Source organism: Homo sapiens, chromosome 2, assembly GCF_000001405.40.
Source record: "Homo sapiens chromosome 2, GRCh38.p14 Primary Assembly".
Classification (NCBI taxonomy): domain Eukaryota; kingdom Metazoa; phylum Chordata; class Mammalia; order Primates; family Hominidae; genus Homo; species Homo sapiens.
The window spans coordinates 9,360,557-9,374,696 of NC_000002.12; the positions used below are offsets into that span (position 1 = coordinate 9,360,557).

The window sequence follows — 14,140 nt, forward strand, 5'->3', positions numbered from 1 at the left end:
GAGAAAAAAGAACCCTGGTTTGCAACCTGCCTGTTCTCATGGTGTAAATACTCCCACAATGGCCAATTTCAAGCTACCTAAGTGAATTACTCAATGTGAAGTTGGAAAAAGATGTTCATTATATAGTACATTCACTATGCAAACACAGTGGATGTAAATAACTTCATGAACATGGACAATAGTAAAATGCAGTATAATTAGGAAGTGATGAGTTTTGAGTATATACTTGTTATTAATGTAACATAATTATGAGTTTATATAGCATAATTTTTAATAGTAGCAGTGCTTAACAGTTGGCTTGCAAAATTCCTGAAATTTTAACAGTTGACTCATATGAGCTGGTAGGAGCCCGACCCCACCATCTGTTATAATTTTTTAAATGTGTCTCAGAAATTTCATGTTCTTCATGAGACTGAGTTGCCTACTAAAGAAGAAAATGCCAAAGAAAGGTGAAAGGAATATGTTGTTCTGTCTTGATGAAACGATGAGGTGACTTCTAATGCCTGGTTAAATTCTCCATTTCTGTCTCCCAGAGCCTCCATCTGCATTCTTGTAGGAGTTTAAAGTTTGGTTGGCTGTCACCCACAATGAGAAATCAGCCAGTGCCTGCTTAATCAATGTCTGCAGATATTTTCAAAATCTAATTGCTTCCAGAGTTTTAAACTCTCCCTTACCCAAGTCTTTTTTCCTCAGTGGTTATCAGGAAAAGTAGAGACAGCAGTGAATTGTGTAGGATTTACTCCCTTCAACCCTGCTTTCCCTGAGCTCTGGCTGGTCCTCTGTGGTTCACAGGAGGTGGACATCTCCCCACGGCTCCCCCAATCCATTTTTTGTATGCTAGGAGTGTGGTCATGGTGTCGTGGCTCTAAACCTTATTCCTTAGCCCTTCAGTTAAGCAGTACGTAGGGTGTCAGGTGTTAGTATTCATTGGCAAAGCTTGGAAATTTCAAGGCTTCTTTCTTTCTTTTCTTTTCTTTTTTCTTTCTTTCTTTCCTTCCTTTCTTTTCTTTTCCTTTTCCTTTTCTTTTTTTGACAGGGTCTCACTCCATGACCCAGGCTGGAGTCCAGTAGCACAATCTTAGCTCACTGCAACCTCTGCCTCCTGGGTTCAAGCAATCCTCCCACCTCAGCCTCCTCAGTAGCTGAGACTACAGGCAAGTGCTACCACGCCTGGCTAAGTTTTGCATTTTTGGTAGAGATGGTCTTTCGCCATGTCCAGGCTGGTCTCGAACTCCTGGACCCAAGTGATCCTCCTGCTTTGGCCTCCCAAAATGCTGGGATTACAGGTGTGAGCCACTGCGCTTGGCCTCAAGCCTTTTAAAAGTATCCAGATTGTTTTATTTTGCTTAGACAATCAGGTACTGGGATGAAGGATTTCCTGAAGTCTTTTTACCTCTTTATCTTATCTCTTTCTCTGCGTGTGTGTGTGTGTGTGTGTGTGTGTGTGTGTGTGTGTATTTAGAATTATGTCTGACACACCGTTAAGAACCATAAAGTATTAGTTATCATTGTTATCTCCTTTAACAAAATCCTTTCAGAAAAATGGTCCCCATGTGCTAGCATGTGAACCCCCAGGGAGGCCATGCATGGTCTGTCTGGTTGTCTGTTCTTACGAACCTTTCCAATTCAGAGTTGCATGCCATGCAGGGCCTCGGCTGACTTGCTTATTGAAGTATGTTTTATTGTATAGTGAGTGTTCATTAGGCCCCTTGGTGCCTTGTGAAAGGAGAGTGGTGGGTGCAGCCTGGACAGGTTCTCTCACAGGAGTAGCATCTCTCCTCTTTTGGGTAAATAGAACAGCCTCTGTTTCAGGGTGACATGCTGTGACAGCAAAGGATTTTATTTTTTTAATTAATTTTTTATTGCATGTATTTATAGTGTACAACATGATGTTTTAGTATGTTGTATACATTGGGTGTGACTAAATCAAGCTAGTTAACATATCTGTCACCTCACATGCTTATGTTTTGTGGTGAGAACACTTAAAATCTACTCTCTTGAGCCTGGTGTGGTGGCCGGCGCCTGTAATCCCAGTACTTTGGGAGGCTGAGGTGAGAAGATTGTTTGAGTCTGGGAGTTCAAGACCAGCCTGACCAACATAGGGAGACCTCCATCTCTACAAATAATTTTTTAAAACTAGCTGGGAGTGGTGGCAAGTACCTGTGGTCCCAGCTACTTGGGAGGCTGAGGCAGGAGGATCACCTGAGCACCCAGGAAGTTGAGGCTACAGTGAACTGTGATCTTGCCACTGCACTCCAGCCTGGGCAACAGAGTGAGACTGTCTCAAAACAAAATTTTTAAGTATACAGTACGTTATTATTAAGTAGAGTCACTGTGTTGTACACTAGATCCCTAGACTTTATTCATCCTAACTGAAATTTTGCATGCTTTGACCAACATGCCCACCCCCAACCCCTGGTAACCATAGTTCTGCTCTCTACTTCTATGAGTTCAGCTTTTTTAGATTTTGCATATAAATGAGATCTTGCAGGATTTGTCTTTCTTTGCCTGGCTTATTTCACTTAGTATAATGTCCTTCAGGTTCATCCATGTTGTCACAAATGACAGAATGTCCTTTTTTTCAGGTCGAATAGTATTCCATTATGTATATATACCACATTTTTAAAATCCATTCGTCCATTGGTGGCATTTAGGTTGATTCCCTATCTCGACTATTGTGAATAGTGCTGCAGTAAACAAGATGGTGAAGACGTGTCTTCAACAAACTGATTTCAGATCTTTTGGGTAAATACCCAGAAGTGGGTTATATGGTGGTTCTAGTTTTTCGAGGAACCTCCATAACCATTTTCTATAATGGTTGTATTATAATAATTTACATTCCCACCCAGTGTGCAAGCCTTCCCTTTTCTCCACATCCCTGCCAACACTTGCTATCTTTTGTCTTTTTGATAAAAGCCATTCTAACAGGTGTGAGATGATCGTGGTTTTAATTTGCATTTCCCTGATGATTTGTATGATTAATGCTGTGTACTTTTTCATACATATACCTGTTGGTCATTTGTAGGTCTTCTCTTTCTCTTTTTTTTGACAGGTTCTTGCTCTGTCGCCCAGGCTGGAGTGCAGTGGTGCCATCTCGGTTCAGTGCAGCCTCTACCTCCCAGGCTCATGCAATCCTTCTGGGTAGCTGGGACTATAGGCATGTGCCACCATGCCCAGCTAATTTTTTAAAATTTTTCCATAGAGACAGGGTCTCACTATATTGGCCAGGCTAATCTGGAATTCCTGGGCTTAAGTGGTCTTCCAGCCTCGGCTTCCCAAAGTGCTGGGATTATAGGCATGAACCGCCTGCAGCCTAGCATTACTTCTTTTCCAATGGAATGGAAGTTGCATAATTGAATTATTAATTAGTTCTGGGGAATCATGTCATCTTAACTACTTTAGCACACACCAGCTTAATATCTTTAGATTCTAAAGCAAACCTACTTTGGGAAAAACTTTCTGGTAAACACAGATTTTAAAAAGATAAATTTCCTTCTTAATGTAGAAGATCATGATTTCAGCTTTGATTTTTCAGGTCATATGAAAAACAGTATCACTGGTACTAGGGTACTACTATCATGATCAATTTCACTATCATACATGAAGTTAATAAAGGAATTCTTGATATTCTGAAATTGAATTTGAGTCAGTCATTTAAAAATCTTATGAGACCAGGCGCAGTGGTTCACACCTATAGCTCCAGCACTTTGGGAGGCTGAGGCAGGCAGATCACTTGAGCCCATGAGTTCAAGACCAACCTGGGCCACATGGCAAAACCCCATCTCTACAAAAAAAAAAAAGTTAGCTGAGTATGGTAGTACATGCCTGTGGTCCTAGCTATCAGGGAGGCTGAGGTGGGAGAATCACCTGAGCCCAGGAGGTTGGCTATAGTGAACTGAGATTGTGCCACTGCTCTCCAGCCTGGGTGACAGAGTAAGACCCTGTCTCAAAACAAAAAAACATCAAATTAAAAAACAGGCATCAAGAGCATTACCAAATATTTACTGACTCAGCTTTCTGTTTCTTGACTTTCTTCTATTTCTGTTCTCATACGGTTGTTAATAAGCTGTCAAATGTTAAAGCGGGTCAACACACAGTCTGATCTGAAAGAGAGCATGTGGAGAGGAAAGCTCCTCAAAGACGAAGAACTTAACGACTTACAACTGTCTTCTAAGTTCACCTAGGACTGAAATGTGCCACCCAGATACTAAAAGCAATTGCTTAGGGCAACAGGAAATTGACTATCAGTGGTCATTTACGGAGGAACTGTTATGCTCCAGGCATTGTTGTAGGTGTTCTACGTACACTGTATTATCTAACCTAAATGGAGAGCTCCATTTTTAAAAAAAGACCAGAGAGGTTAAGAAACTTACCCAGTGCAGGATTTACATTCCAACTATCAGACTCCAGAGCCTGTGTTTTAGCCTTTTTTTTTAAAGCCAAGATTCTGAACATTTTTTAAACCACAAAGTCTATCAGAAAAAATTGAGCACCAAAGCATGTACTTACTTACATATGATGTACCTACACTTACTAAGAAATACATACTTTGTAAACTACATCAAAAATAGAGCTTTTAAAGGGTCAGGTAAAGACATCATATGTAAACTTTTTCCCTGCACACCAGAGTGTCCTTTTGTGCTCTTTGCTTTGGAGGCAGCAGTTTGGTCAAGCCCCTTCCCTTGTCTGGGCCTTTACCCTCTGTACTTTAGAGCTGGACTGCACTCTTCAGGCCCTCCACCCTTCGGGGATCCAAGGGGCCCAGTTAACATCAGGGAGGAGCTGACCTTGGGGTCTCCTGAGCTCAGCGGTCAGGGAAGTCTGGTTTCTCTCACTTGCCTGTTCTCTCCTGGGGTGAGTCAGAGAAGAATGTCACAGCAATTGTTGTCCTTCCTCATGGAGACATGAAAACAGGACAGGAGGTTTCCCTGCCCCACCCCAAACTCTCAAAACAATGTCCAGATAAAACCTAAAGCTTCATTTTGGCTCAGTGGGCCCTGCTCAGGTAGGTGCTAAGGACGTACAGGTGTGTGATTCTGTGTCTCTGTCCTGGGTGTGGCCATCAGGGAGGGAGATGCCCACACACAGACGACTCCCCCGTATGGTGAGTGCCAAGAAAAGGGGCCTCCTGGCCAAGGGACTGCTCTGCTCATCTGGGCCTGGTGCCGCTGTCCTCATAGTGTTCAGGATGAACTTCTTTTCCAGGGCTTCTTATTGACTCATCGCTACCTTGTTGAAGTGAGCTGCCATAGAGCAGGAGGGTGCCTCATGCCTCATGCCCAGCACAGACGAGGGGCTCAGAGTGTGCTCCTGAGGCCACAGGAAGGGCGACGGACTGGGCTGAGCTACCCTGGGTGATACAGAACTTAAACACTCCCTCCTCTCCTCCATCCAGTCTGGCTCAATTTCTGCCTCAGTGCAGCCCACAAATTCCTTCTGGGTGCCAGTGAGAAGCAGGAGATGCCAGGGCTCAGGTCGACAGCCACCTTCCTGCCCCCTTGGTTTCTGCCTGCCTGTCCTGCTGGCACCTGCAGCCTCCATTTGCAAATGCTTTGCTTTTGTCGATGGGTCTGGAGGGGTTCTCTATGGGCTGAAACGTAAACTGGAACTTGGCAGAACTGCAAGGTAGCACGTTTCTCTAGCATTGGATGAGTGTGACACATGGATGCGGTGGCTCCCTGGACCAGCTGTCTCTCAGTTAACCAGCCAAGTCCAAGCAGAAGGGAAGCAGCTCTTCGATTCCTGGGGAATTCTCCTCCTCCCATCTCCCCACCCCCATCTGCTTAACACAAACTAGGAGGCATCAGGGTGGTTGGCCCCTGGCTCATAGAGGGGGCCACAGTGATTTTTGTCACTCAACTTGGGAAAACCATTGTGCTCACCTGGGGACAGTGTCCTGCTTGGATTGTATGCTGCCTGGCTATAAACCAGGCGCTCTGACATTGGGGTTCAGTCCTGGATCTGACACCAGCTGCCTGAGAAACCCTTCACAGGGCATTAGCTTCCTGGTGCATAGGTACCTGTCACCTTAAGTGGTGTGCCACCTGACCATTCTGTTGTCCCTGGGAAAATTGCAACGCAGCCTCTAGGCTTTTGCCTCCTGACTGATGGCTTGAGGTCCCAGAGCCAGGACTGAGCAAGGAGGTGGAGTTGGTTAATGTTTTATGCTTTGGGCCGCCTAGAAAAAGCTTTTTCCACGTGTCAAGGGCCGGGTTGAATTAGGAAAGCTCATCATCCAGCTATTAGGCTACCCCACATAATTCTTCTGTTTTTAAAAAATTGCGTCTGCATCCTCCACTAGCCCACTAGCCCATTTCACCGTTTGATGTTATTTGCCGCCAGGAAGTTCCAGTGTATCTAACCCAGACCTCTTGGGCTCTCCTTCAGTCAGTTCCCTACAAGAGATAGACCCGATTTCAGGCTGCAGCAGCCTCTCCCAAAGCATGTTTGTTAACTCCTTTGCCTGCATAATTTTTTTTTTTTTTTTTTGTAGAGATGGAGTCTCACTCTGTCGCCCAGGCTGGAGTCCAGTGGTGTGATCTCGGCTCACTGCAATCTTCACCTCCTGGATTCAAGCAATTCTCCTGTCTCAGCCTCCTGAGTAGCTGGGACTACAGGTGCACGCCGCCATGCCTGGCTAATTTCTTTTGTATTTTAGTAGAGATGGGGTTTCACCTTGTTGCCCAGGCTAGTCTCGAACTCCTGAGCTCAGCCGATCCACCCGCCTCGGCCTCCCAAAGTGGTAGGAATACAGGTGTGAGCCACCATGCCTGGCCTGCCTGCATAATCAATAGAGAGCAGAAATATCACAAGCGTCACTGACTCCCCAGCAGAACATGGAAATGAAAATATGTTTTCTCAAAGCACTGAGCTTGGTGCTCCCTTTTGGTATTATTTCATTAAACGTTTAAGAATCTGACCTGGCCAGGCGCAGCGGCTCACGCCTGTAATCCCAGCACTTTGGGAGGCTGAGGTGGCCGGATTGCATGAGCCCAGGAGTTCGAGACCAGCCTGGGCAACATGGTGAAACCCCATCTCTACAAACAATACAAAAATCAGCTGGGCGTGGTGGCGTGTGCCTATAGTCCCCGCTGCTTGGGAACCTGAGGTAGGAGGGTCACCTGAGCCTGGGGAGGGCAAGGTTGCATTAAGCCATGATCATGCCACTGCACTTCGGCCTGGGCAACAGAGCAAGACACTGTCTCAAAAAAAAGAATGTGTTAATTTAATGTTTAACATGTCAGAAGATTGATTGGCAAGTAAAGACCTTACATCTGGAGCTAATATATTACATTTTTAGTGTTTCAGTTTACTGTTTTCACCTAAATTTTATCAACCCAGAAGTATAGGTATCATCCCATTTTACTGATGAAAACTCTGCCGCTCAGGGAAACTGACTTGCCTGTGGTCACACAGCCGGTAATGGAGCTGTGATTTGAACCTGAGTCTTAGCTTTCCTGGCTCAGTGCCGCTTCACTCTACCAGAACTACCTCATAGCTGGCATAAGTAAAGGTTGTTTGAGGATGTGAAATAGATTCACTTTGGTTGAGGCACAGGTCATTGGGAGGAGTGGGTAAGGATGGAAATTCACATTGGACCAAGTTACTGGTTCTCCCTGTCTCTGTCTGTACTCTATCCAGAGCGCGTTTTATGACAATGCGTCTCTGTAATAGGCATGCCGCTTCTTATCTTTAATTTTATGGGTACCTTTGGGCTTTGGGTTTTGTCCATCTTCATTAAAGGCAAACCACTTTATTGCTCTATTTCTTAGTGGCCATTAAATAAATCATCAGATGGGGATGGGTAATGTGTAGCAGTAGAATGTATTAATAATTGAGTATCCTGAAATAGACTTTCATTTTTGCAGCTCGCCAAGAATATTGGGAATGCAGGCTTTAATGAGATCATGGAATGTTGCCTACCAGCTGAGGACTCAGTCAAACCCAACCCAGGCAGCGACATGTAAGTATGGGACTGGCTATTCTCATTTGCTGAGTAAAGGTTTGCCTTTGCCCGAGCCCCGGGAGGCAGGGGAATAAGAAGTTTTGGGTGCATCCATCGTTGCTTCTTTAGGGAATAAATCAGCCTATGTTGGGTTTTCTTAGTCACTTTAACCTTTTGGGTGACCAAATAGAAATTTTTTTAGGAAGAAGCCAAAAGCAGGCAGGTTTCGCAGATGCTGTGCGTGTGTGCAGCGGGTATGTAGAGAGCCTCACTCGCCACTGGTGGGTGGAAGACCCTGGACTTTTCACCTGTGCTGTCTGTTCTGTTGAGTCACTTCCCCGTCTTGGTCTCTCTGCATAATCCTGAGCCACCGAGATGGCTGGTTGTGGTAGATATGTGATTATGTAGCGTCCTTCTTGCCAACGTCCTTGCCTCCTTGCAAATGTGGAATGTGTTACTTCCTTCAAAAAATGTTTGTGTTTGTGTTATTGTTGATACACAACTTGACGGAGAAGCTTTTTTTTTTTTTTCTGGGAGACGGAGTTTCACTCTTGTTACCCAGGCTGGAGTGCAGTGGCACGATCTCGGCTCACTGCAACCTCTGCCTCCCAGGTTCAAGCGATTCTTCTGCCTCAGCCTCCCAAGTAGCTGGGATTATAGGCACATGCCACCACGCCTGGCTAATTTTTATATTTTTAGTAGAGACAGAGTTTCACCATGTTGGCCAGGCTGGACTCGAACTCCTGACCTCAGGTGATCCACTCGCTGCAGCCTCCCAAAGTGCTGGGATTACAGGCGTGAGGCACCGTGCCTGGCCAGCGGAGAAGCTTTTGTGTCTACTGGTGCAGAGCTGACAACAGGGAATGTTCTTGCCCATCTTATCAGAGTGTCAGTGGCCATGTCACACTAGTCTTCGAGAAGAGGTGGACAGGGAGACCCATGGGTTCGGGCAGTGGGTGTCCGGCTCGCCTTAGACTTCAGCTCTGTTTAGTATTATGGCTCTTATGTCTATAGGGGGACATGGGTGGTTTACCTGTTTTGTTGTGATGCAAAGTGAAACAGACGGAAGGAAGGAGAGAGGCTACTGGGCCAGTTAACAGAGCACCTGCATTTGAGTGGTGAGGCTGGGTCAGCGTGTCCTGGCAGGACAGAGAAAAATGAAAAATATGTGATAAGAAAAAGTATTTAAAAATTCATTTACAGAAACAGCATTTTCTGTGGAATAAGCCTGAAGTAGAATTAATGACACGAGTCTTCCCAAAGGACAGTGAGCAACAGTGAACAATGTCTTTAAGGGTGGTTTCACAAATAGGTGGTAGTGTATGGACCCTTTGTAAAGGGAGAGAATTTAGATTTTTTTTTCCCCTTCAAGACCTCTTGCCCAGGCTGGAGTGCAATGATGTGATCTCGGCTCACTGCAGCATCCGCCTCCTGGGTTCGAGTGATTCTCCTGCCTCAGCCTCCTGAGTAGCTGGGACAGGCACATGCCACCACACCCAGCTAATTTTTTGTATCTTTAGTAGAGATGGGGTTTCACCATGTTGGTCAGGCTGGTCTTGAACTCCTGACCTCGTGATCTGCCCACCTTGGCCTCCCAAAGTGCTGGGATTACAGACATGAGCCACTGTACCTGGCCTAGATTTTTTTTAACCATTTTGTGTGGCATGTCTTTGAGAAACGGAGATTGCAGGACCTGTATTCTTTCTGCGTTTTGCTGATGTAACTTGATACAGTGAAAGAGCCAGAACATTGCGAGGGAGTGAACAGGGACCATGTGCATTACAGTCTTTCAGGTATCAGGTATCTCAGGTGAGCGATTTAGTTGTTGTTGGATTAAAGTCAGTTTATGTTTGAATCCTGTAACAAGTGTTTGTGGTGTCGCATTTCCTTGAGAATTGGATAACGTGTGGTTTTACATACCAGGCATGAGGTTGACAATGTGATCATCCTCTCTTGATGAGGATCTAAGTTTCAAATCTATATTTTTACCCAAACCTAGAGAGGCAGTAGGGACATAGATATCTCAGTCCTTATCTGAGCCATGGGACACCGGCAGATTGTTTAACTTCTCTGAGCCTAAGCTCTGTAATAAAAAAAGGGAGATAACGTTCCCCCTCACAGAGGCATTGGGGGCATGAGCGGGATGATGGGGTCAGACATGTGGTGCTTAGTTTTAGTGCCTGGTTGACATTAGCTGCCCTGCTTGCTCTTCTTCCTGTGGGTGACAGAAGTCACATCTGTACCCTGCATTGATTCCATACACCCTGAAAATGAGGTTCCTCTCCAGTTAAGTTTCAGTGGAGAGTTACTCAAGGTGAAGGAGCTCTTCCTGGGCGAGCCTGAGGGTCCCGCTTGGTGAAGGAAACGTCGTGAATCCAGCATGGCGAGGTCATCTCCTGCTGTGCAGTTGACACCTGCTCTTTCAGCTGCTTCATCTCACACTGACGGTACCAGCACCCTGTAATGCTGTCATATCGGTCAGTTCTGAACAAAGTGTGTGTCGTTTCTTCCAAGCACCAGGGGTACCTAACGAAAGCAGGGCATTTGGTTGTTCTGGGGCTAGGCGATTCTAAAAAATGAACACTGTCAATGTGGAACCCTTCAGTATGAACGTTCTGTCTGCACTGTAGCCCTCCTCCAGCCTTGGCACTGTTGAAAAAGAAATTTACATCCCCCAACCCCGGGCTTTTTTCAAAATGAGGGCGGATGACCCGTGTGATGGCGAAACATCAGCTACTTCCATTCCTTCTCAACTGAAATTACTTTCTTGGCTCTGTGCTCCTATAGCATTTGGCTCTATTTTAAAACATTTCATCCCACTTCATAGTATACTCAGGCATTTACATATATTTTTCTGATGAATTACTTCTTACTCATTTTGGTTTTTCCCACCGTAATATGTTGCTTCTGGTGAACCAGTGACTATTTAATGAATCAGCGAGTCAAACAAGTACTCCCAGCTCTGTGCCTGCTTAAATAAGCTAGTATTTTACTTCCAGATGAAAAGGAATACACTGCTTCTAGCTTTATTTCAGAACAGCACACCATCTGCAGATAAATCTGTTGAAGGGGAAACCAAGGACACCCTCTAGTGGCCTGTGAATCCCAAGACGGATCTTGGGGGTGTCAGGGACGTGTAACTGGGGGAGGTGGAGCAGGGAAGCTAGGCTTGTATTTGCTCACAGGAGCCAGAACTGTTTCTCCCTGTGACTTGGGACCATTATACACACCCTGTCCTTGAGAAGTGTAAGGAGAGCCCCTCCTCTGAACACCAAATGTATCATTATGTTAATTGTTTTTCTGCAAAAGCCTGTCATTAAAAAAAAGAGGGAGGGCCGGGCGCGGTGGCTCACGCCTGTAATCCCAGCACTTTGGGAGGCCGAGGTGGGCGGATCACGAGGTCAGGAGATCGAGACCATCCTGGCTAACACGGTGAAACCCCATCTGAGGGATCACATTAGCAAAGCAAACCTCCTTCACAAAACCAGGGGGCATGTGTGGAGTTAAACAGACCTGTGCCCATGTTTGTGTAGGAGCTGCCTTCGGGGCCTCCAAGCCCTGGGCAGATGAGTAAATACATTAAAAAACAAGTAAAGGAAGTCCACTTTCTCTCTATCCCTTTCCTGTGGAGGTCGCAGTAATGATTGTCCCACAGTGATGATTGAAAGTGCATGAAACTGGACAACTGTCCAGTCTAACTGCCTGTCAGAAGAGGCATTTACATCATTAAATGGGCTGCCCACCATGACACTCGCCAGGCCAGGAATGGAGCATCTCCCTGGGTGTCACACTGTGCTGGAGGCCCTAAGAGGAGAACCTGCAGGAATAAAATGGGTCTTCCCTTGTAGGCCCACCAGCTGCCTGAGGAAACAGAATCCAGTTTCCCTTTATGGACTTCAGTGTACAGTAAATCCTGAATGTTCCAGAAACTCAAAGGTTTCTGGAAACCTGTGACTTTAAGCAAAATGATGTATAAGAAACCAGTTTTACCCTATGCCAATTGATGTAAACCAGAGTTCAGTTCCTACCATGTATTTCTGATCATGAGAACATCACCAAACTTTTGAATAAAGGCCCAGAACACTTCTAATATTAAACATTGAAATATGAGCGATGCATACATTTAAGAAAGATTCTGGCTACTAAGTGGGATAAAGAAAGATCATAAAAACCAGTAAGATAATGATTCACCCACTTATTCCAGTTCAGGGTCAGAGGTGGCTGGAGCATGTCCTGGCAGCTGAAGTCCAGGGTGGGAACAAGCCCTGAACAGGACCCCGTCCCACTGTGGGACGCAGTCACACCCACGTCCACACTCAGTCGCAGTGGGGCCTTTGAGACACAGCAGTTAGCCGAACGTGCACAGCTTTGGGATGTGGGGGAAACCGGAGTGCCCAGAGAAAACCCAGGTGGACTCCACACAGACAGGGACCCTGCCTGGGAATTGATTTTTTTCTTAACATTATAACAAAATGCTGTTATTCGAGGGCCTGTTGTGCCTACAGGTGGAGATGAAAACTCATGGCACTGTTGAGGGAACCCACTGAGACCACGTATCTCACACACAAGTCAGCCAGCACCGCAGTGAGCTCAGTGCACGGGTTAGCGCTGTGTGGACGGGGAGCATGTGCCGGGGGACGTTGAGGCACCCGCCTTAACCTAGGCCCTGTAGAGCGGGCAGAACTGGAGCCGGAGCAGGAGGGAGGCAGTGTGATAAAAGTGCCAGAGCACAAGTTCACCAGGTGCCCCTGGAAGTCCTTCCTGGGCTGTGAAGCATGCTGCCTGCTCAGGTGGAACGGGCACCCTGGGGCGTGATTTCCTCTCCAGCTGCACCAGCCAGCCTCACGCTGCGGCGTGTCCAGGAGCCACATGCACCCAAGGACAAGCAGATTTGAGGCCTGGCAGACGCTGGCAAGAGACCTCTGCCCACTCAGTTCCGTCTGGGTGCTGTGGGAGTAATGGCTTCTCATCTTAGGCTGGCCCATCTTCAAGGGACCCCAGGGTAGACAGGATCTCTACTCCCTGCCTCCAGTGGCATGTCCAGGGAGCTCAGGCTCCCCTTCTGGGGGGCCAGTTGTTCCACGGGGATTTAGGGCAGGTACAGAAAAGTCAACAACTGCTCCAGCAGCCATGGCCCCTTGCCATAGTCAGCTGAGTGAGAGAGCGGAGGTCAGGAGGGAACCGTGCGGGGACTCCAGCTCGAAGGGGAGCAGCCGCATTTGTCCTCAGATTGTAGGCAGTGCTGTGTTACAAATGGATGCAACTGATCTGCCCCTGCCTGGCTCTTGCCTGATTCTCAAGATTCAAAGAGTCCCTGGGCAGTGACCCTCAACCTTCAGAATTGGGATTGTAAAATGCATGTACTCTGTGACCAGTGAGCTGCTGTTTCGCTCTCCCTCTTGTAAGTTCACTGGGTCTTTCCAAGGCCCGGGACCCACTGTGTGTGCTGCAGGTGTGTTGACGCACATACGTCTCATGGTGCTACTGTGAGGATGTATTGTGTGCATTTTCGCAAGTCAGACTTACAAGTCTAGAGAGATGAAATACTTATTCAAGTTCAAAGCAGCAGTGTGTGGTGGGAGTGGGATTTGAACTCAGGCTTCTTTGGCCCCCTTTTGTTCCTGCTTCTGTAGGCTCTTTGGATGGGGCGGAGTCTGAGCATGTTGCCACATAAAGGCCAGAAAGTAGAACACAAAGAGGACTGCCATTTCATTTCAGTTCATCTGATAGTGCCTTTCATACCAGGCATGGTGCCTACAAAAAAGAGGTCATAGTCCATGCCCCAAGGAGCTCATGGGCCTGTCGGGCAGTGAGGCAGGCAGGCCTTCATGTAGAGAATGTTGGAACAGAGGTTGGCCAGGGCTGCATGGAGGGCAGGGGCAGGGCCTTCCTGGGGGAGGAGGCGCAGGGCATGCGGATTGGAAGGACCTGAATAAGAAGGGTGTGGAGGTGACGAGGGCGACAGTGAGGTCAGATCACAGAACTTAGGAGTGAGGGGAGGGAGACAAGGCAGAGAGGCGGGTGGGCTGAGAGAACATGGGGAGTTGTCCCCCTGGCCAGTTCCCAGGAGGTCGCAGTGAAGACCAGTGCAGCCGTAGAACCACATGGCGGCCACTCCCGCTTTGTGTTTCGGGGCCAGCGGTGCTTACCAGGGACATGGCGCAGGAACCGTTAACATGGCCTTAGACAAAGGGA

At 46.9% G+C, this 14,140-nt stretch overlaps 1 protein-coding gene across 22 annotated transcripts in view, besides 3 other annotated features; it reads left to right on the forward strand.

Annotated features, from left to right (window-relative positions):
• The window catches only part of ASAP2 (ArfGAP with SH3 domain, ankyrin repeat and PH domain 2), a 198,867-nt gene that overhangs the window by 153,745 nt on the left and 30,982 nt on the right, over positions 1 to 14,140 (forward strand). For all 22 annotated transcript variants that reach the window (XM_011510403.4, XM_011510407.3, XM_011510404.3 and 19 more), the window contains one exon: positions 7,869 to 7,963. In XM_011510403.4, the coding sequence (XP_011508705.1) occupies positions 7,869 to 7,963 (95 nt within the window). The remainder of the gene's footprint in view (positions 1 to 7,868; positions 7,964 to 14,140) is intronic.
• Positions 4,624 to 4,918: an enhancer, noted in NCBI's record as "tiled region #10317; K562 Activating DNase unmatched - State 8:EnhW, and HepG2 Activating DNase matched - State 5:Enh". NCBI's record gives its function as "activates a minimal TATA promoter and a strong SV40 promoter by Sharpr-MPRA in K562 cells, with weaker activity in HepG2 cells {active_cell/tissue: K562 | HepG2}" and the evidence as "EXISTENCE:reporter gene assay evidence [ECO:0000049][PMID:27701403]".
• Positions 12,910 to 13,458: an enhancer, noted in NCBI's record as "H3K27ac-H3K4me1 hESC enhancer chr2:9513595-9514143 (GRCh37/hg19 assembly coordinates)". NCBI's record gives its function as "activates a minimal SCP1, AML or CMV promoter by ChIP-STARR-seq in primed H9 embryonic stem cells {active_cell/tissue: H9 hESC(primed)}" and the evidence as "EXISTENCE:reporter gene assay evidence [ECO:0000049][PMID:30033119]".
• Positions 13,459 to 14,007: an enhancer, noted in NCBI's record as "H3K27ac-H3K4me1 hESC enhancer chr2:9514144-9514692 (GRCh37/hg19 assembly coordinates)". NCBI's record gives its function as "activates a minimal SCP1, AML or CMV promoter by ChIP-STARR-seq in primed H9 embryonic stem cells {active_cell/tissue: H9 hESC(primed)}" and the evidence as "EXISTENCE:reporter gene assay evidence [ECO:0000049][PMID:30033119]".